Source organism: Homo sapiens, chromosome 19 (genome assembly GCF_000001405.40).
Source record: "Homo sapiens chromosome 19, GRCh38.p14 Primary Assembly".
Lineage (NCBI taxonomy): Eukaryota > Metazoa > Chordata > Mammalia > Primates > Hominidae > Homo > Homo sapiens.
In genome coordinates, this window is record NC_000019.10 from 8406971 (window position 1) to 8412921 (window position 5951).

Here is a 5951-nt window from a genome sequence, read left to right on the forward strand (position 1 = left end):
CTCCCCCTCGCCTCCTGAGTTTAAGCAATTCTCCTGCTTCAGCCTCCTAAGTAGTTGGGATTACAGGCACATGCCACCACACCCGGCTGATTTTTTTTTGTTTTTTTTTTTTTTGGTAGAGATGGGGTTTCACCGTGTTAGCCAGGATGGTTTCTATCTCCTGACTTTGTGATCCGCCCACCTTGGGCTCCCAAAGTCCTGGGATTACAGGCGTGAGCCACCGCGCCAGGGCAACAGGAGGATTTCAAGTAGAAACTGCCAATGAAAAAAGAGAGAGAGAGAAGGATCACTTGAACCCAGGAGTTACAGTCCAACCTGGGCAACACAGCAAGACCCAGTCTCTAAAAAAATAATAAAGAAACGCTGAGAGCATGGCTCACGTCTGTAATTACAGCACTTCAGGAGACCAAGGCAGGCAGATTGCATGAGCCCAGGAATGCGAGACCAGCCTGGGCAACATGATGAAACCACGTTTCTACAAAAAATACAAAAATTAGCCAGGCATGGTGGCACGCACCTACTTAGGAGGAGGAGATGGGAAGATCAATTGAGTCAGGGAGGTAGAGAATGCAGTGAGCTGTGATCACACCACTGCACTCCAGCATGGGCAACAGAGGGAGACACTGTCACAGTGAATGAATGAATGAATGAATGAATGGAGACTGGGAAGAAGTATACCAACTTTTTAAAAATGTTTTATGGGGTGGGTGCAGTGGCTCATGCCTGTAACCCCAGCACTTTGGGATGCCGACGCAGGCAGATCATTTGAGGTCAGGAGTTCGAGACCAGCCTGGCCAACATGGCAAAACCCCATCTCTAATAAAAATACAAAAATTAGCTGGGCATGGTGGCAGGTGCCTGTAATCCCAGCTACTCCAGGGGCTGGAGCAGGAGGATCACTTGAACCTGGGAGGTGGAGGTTGGAGTGAGCAGAGATAGTACCACTGCACTCCAGCATGGGCAACTGAGTGAGACCCTGTCTCAAAAAAAAAAAAAAAAAAAAACCACCTAAAGGTTTGATTAGAGTCAGGACTGGATTGAGCGCTGCCTAACTAGTGTCGTGTACATACATTAGAAGACACATTACATTAATGTTTCCCTCTTTTGTGGCATTAGCAGCTGCTAATGAGCATTACCAAGCTTCATAATCCATTAGCGGCTACAAAATGGTGATATGCAAATTGTATTCCTTCTCTTATTTCTGGAATACTTTTTTTTTCCTTTTTTTTGAGATGGAGTCTCACTCTGTCGCCAGGCTGGAGTGCAGTGGTGAGATCTCGGCTCACTGCAACCTCTGCCTCCCAGGTTCAAGCGATTCTCCTGCCTCAGCTTCCCCAGTAGCTAGGACTACAGGTTCACACCACCATGCCAGGCTAAATTTTTGTATTTTTAGTAGAGACGGGGTTTCACCATGTTGGCCAGGATGATCTCCATCTCTTGACCTCGTGATCCGCCCGCCTCGGCCTCCCAAAATGCTGAGATTACAGGCGTGAGCCACTGCACCGCCCAGCCAGGTTACTTTTTTTTCCTTTGAGACGGGTCTTTTTTTTTTTTTTTTGAGTCAGTCTCATTCTGTCTCGGCTCACTGCAACCTCCACCTCCTGGGTTTAAGTGATCCTCATGCCTCAGCCTCCCAGGTAGCTGGGATTACAGGCATATGCCCAGCTAATTTTTGTGTTTTTAGTAGAGATGGGATTTCACCACATTGGCCAGGCTGGTCTCGAACTACTGGCCTCATGTGATAAACCTGCTTTGGCCTCCCAAAGTGCTAGGATTACAGGTGTAAGACACCGTGCCCAGCCTTCTTTTTTTTGTTTTCTTTTTTGTGTATTTATTTATTTATTTATTTATTTGAGACAGAATGGCTCTGTCACCCAGGCTGGAGTGCAGTGGCACAATCTCGGCTCACTGCAACCTCTGCCTCCCAGGTTCAAGCAATTCTCCTGTCTCAGCCTCCTGAGTAGCTGGGACTACAGGTACACACCACCATGCCCGGCTAATTTTTGTATATTTATTATAGATGGGGTTTCACCATATTGGTTAGGCTGGTCTTGAACTCCTGACCTCAAGTAATCCACCCACCTCAGCCTCCCAAAGTGCTAGGATCAGGAATTTGACACCATCCTGGCCAACATGATGAAACCCCGTCTCTACTAAAAATGCAAATTCTAGATGGGCATGGTGGCAAGTGACTGTAATCCAGCTACTCAGGAGGCTGAAGCAGGAGAATTGCTTGAACCTGGGGGCAGAAGTTGCAGTGAGCCAAGATCGTTCCATTGCACTCCAGCCTGGGCGATAGAGTGAAACTCCATCTCAAAAATAAATAAATAAATAAATAAATAATAAATAAATAAATGAAATTATCTGCCAGGCACAGTGGCTCACGCCTGTAATCCTACCACTTTGTGAGGCCGAGGCAGGAAGATCCTTTGAGCCCAGGAGCTCAAAACTAGCTTGGGCCTCATAGCAAGCCCCGTCTCTATTATTTAAAAATTAAGGCCAGGCACAGTGGCTCACGTCTTTAATCCCAGCACTTTGGGAGGCCTAGGCAGGTGGATCACGAGGTCAGGAGTTTGAGACCAGCCTGGCCAATACGGTGAAACTCCGTCTCTACTAAAAATACAAAAAAACTAGCTGGGCATGGTGGCGTGCACCTGTATTCCCAGCTACTTAGGAGGCGGAGGCAGGAGAATCGCTTGAACCCAGGAGACAGAGGTTGCAGTAAGCCAAGATTGCACCACTGCACTCTAGCCTGGGCAATAGAGGGAGACTCCATCTCAAAATAAAATAAAATAAAAAATTGGCTGCGCGCGGTGGCTCAGGCCTATAATCCCAGCACGTTGGGAGGCCGAGGCGGGCAGATCACGAGGTCAGGAGATCGAGACCATCCTGGCTAACATGGTGAAACCCCGTCTCTACTAAAAAATACAAAAAAATCAGCCGGGTGGGGCGGCGGGCGCCTGTAGTCCCAGCTACTCGGGAGGCTGAGGCAGGAGAATAGCGTGAACCCGGCAGGCGGAGGTTGCAGTGAGCCGAGATCACGCCACTGCACTCCAGCTGGGCGACAGAGCGAGACTCCGTCTCTAAATAAATAAATAAATAAATAAATAAATAAATAAATAAATAAAATATCATTCGCCACTAAAATGAACCAGGGCTCTTCGGAAAAATGGTTGAGTCCAGGCCTGGGGCAGGCAAAAGACAAGACAAGTCAGCCTGGAAGAGTTTGTTGAGCCAGTTAGTAAGGAAATGCCCCAAGATGGAATTAGAAAATCACCATTTGGGGCCGGGCGCGGCGGCTCACGCCTGTTATCCCAGCACTTTGGGAGGCCAAGGAGGGCGGATCACCAGGTCAGGAGATCGAGACCATCCTGGCTAACACGGTGAAATCCCATCTCTACTAAAAAAAAATACAAAAAATTAGCCGGGCGTGGTGGCGGGCGCCTGTAGTCCCAGCTACTCGGGGGGCTGAGGCAGGAGAATGGCGTGAACCCCGGAGGCGGAGCTTACAGTGAGCCGAGATCGCGCCACTGCCCTCCAGCCTGGGCGACAGAGCAACGCTCCATCTCAAAAAAGAAAATCACCATTTGGTTGCTATTATGGTAATAACTGACTCAGGCAAGGGTCATCAATTGATATTAAGCTCTTGGAAACGGCGTGTGTTGAGGAACAGGCTATTTAATTACTTTCGAAGTATCTCCCCAGAAAGCACTTATTAACAAAGTGTAAAGTCAGGTGCCGTGGCTCATGCCTGAGGTTAGGAATTTAAGACTAGCCTGGCCAACATGGCGAAACCCCATCTCTACTAAAAATACACAAATTAGCTGGACGTGGTGGTGCGGGCCTGTAATCACAACTACTCAGGAGGCTGAGGCAGGAAAATCACTTGAACCGGTGGCGGAGGTTGCAGTGAGCAGAGAGGGCGCCACTGCACTCCAGTCTGGGCCACAGAATGAGACTCCATCGCCAAAAAAGAAAAAAAAAATTGGTCGGGCGTGGTGGCTCCTGCCTGTAATCCCAGCACTTTGGGAGGCGGAAGTGGGCAGATCACTTGAAGTCAGGCGTTTAAGACCAGCCTGACCAACATAGTGAAACCTGCCTCTACTAAAAACACAAAAATTAGCTGGGCGTGGTGGTGCGGGCCTGTAATCCCAGCTACTCGGGAGGTGAGCCAGGAGAATCCCTTGAACCTGGGAGGCAGAGGTTGCAGTGAGCTGAGACCACACCATTGCACTCCAGCCTGGGTGACAGAGTGAGACTCTGTCTCAAAAAAAAAAAAAAAAAATTAAAATTAAATAAAATATTAAAAACAACAACAACAACAAAACACCACAGTGTAACATACTAACCTCACACTGGAGAAACTGGCAGACACCATTTGAACCAAGTTAGCACAATCGATAGTGGACAAAATCAGCATTGTATGCATCCTGAAAACACAACGTCACATCTGTTTCCTGCCACAAATGCAAAATCATGAGAAAGTATTAGACAAATAGCAATGGAAGGACTTCCTGCAAAATTACTAGCCTGGAATTTTTGAAAAATATTGATGTCATGGAGAGAAGGTAAGATTGATAAAATGTTCCAGAAAGAGAGACTAAATTAGAGTCGTTAACAACAAAATACAATGCTTGATCCTGGGATGGATTTGGGATTTTTTGTTTTTTGACACAGGATCTTGCTCTGTTGCCCAGGCTGGAATGCAGTGGTGAGGTAATGGCTCACTGCAGCCCAGAACTCCTGGGCTCAATTGATCCTCTCACTTCAGCCTCCCAAGTAGCTGGGACCACAGGAGGATGCCACCACAACTGGCTAATATTTTTATTTTATTTTGTAGAGATGGGGTCTCACTGTGCTGCCCAGACTGATCTCAGACTCCTAGACCCAAGAGACCTTCCTGCCTTGGGCTCCCAAAGAGCTGGGATTGCAGACATGACTCACTGTGCCTGGCCTGGACTTTGGATTTTTAAAGGACTTTATTGGAAACTTTTCTTTTCTTTTTTTTGAGACAGAGTCTGGCTGTGTTGCCCAGGTTAGAGTGCAGTGGCAAGATCTCCGCTCACTGCAACCTCCACCTTGCAGATTCAAGCAATTCTCCTGCCTCAGCCTCCTGAGTAGCTGGAATTACAGGTGCCCACAACAAAACCCAGCTAATTATTTGTATTTTTAGTACAGACAGGGTTTCACCATGTTGGCCGGGCTGGTCTCGAACTCCTGACCTCAAATGATCCAAGTGCTGGGATTACAGGCATGAGTCACTGCACCTGGCCTTTGAATGGGCTCTGGGAATTACATGATAATATTAGATGAACATTAATTTTCTGATTTTGAAGGTTATACTGTGATTATGTGCAAAAGTGTGCTTATACTAAGTGAACATATAGTGCAGTATTTTTTTAAAAATTGATCTGTCTTAGAGATGGGGGTGGGTGAGTTTACTATGTTGCCCAGACTGGCCTCGAACTCCTGGGCTCAAGTGATCCTCTTGCCTCAGCCTCCAGAGCAGCTGGGACTACAGGCCTGGGCCACCACACTTGGCTAACTTTTATTTTATTTTATTTTATTATTTATTTATTTATGTATTTATTTGAGACAGAGTCTCACTCTGTCACCCAGGCTGGAGTGCAGTGGCGCGATGTCGGCTCACTGCAAGCTCTGCCTCCCGGGTTCACGCCATTCCTCTGCCTCAGCCTCCCGAGTAGCTGGGACTACAGGCGCCCGCCACCACGCCCGGCTAATTTTTTTGTATTTTTAGTAGAGACGGGGTTTCACCGTGTTAGCCAGGATGGTCTCGATCTCCTGACCTCGTGATCCGCCCGCCTCGGCTTCCCAAAGTGCTAGGATTACAGGCGTGAGCCACCGCGCCCATCCTTTTAAATTTTTTGTAGAGACGGGAACTCACCATGTTGCCCAGGCTGGTCCCCAACATCTGGCCTCAAGCGATCCTT

The 5951-nt window shown here is 47.8% G+C and overlaps 1 annotated feature.

Annotated features, from left to right (window-relative positions):
- Positions 4795–5089: an enhancer, noted in NCBI's record as "tiled region #2878; HepG2 Activating DNase matched - State 7:EnhWF". NCBI's record gives its function as "activates a minimal TATA promoter and a strong SV40 promoter by Sharpr-MPRA in HepG2 cells {active_cell/tissue: HepG2}" and the evidence as "EXISTENCE:reporter gene assay evidence [ECO:0000049][PMID:27701403]".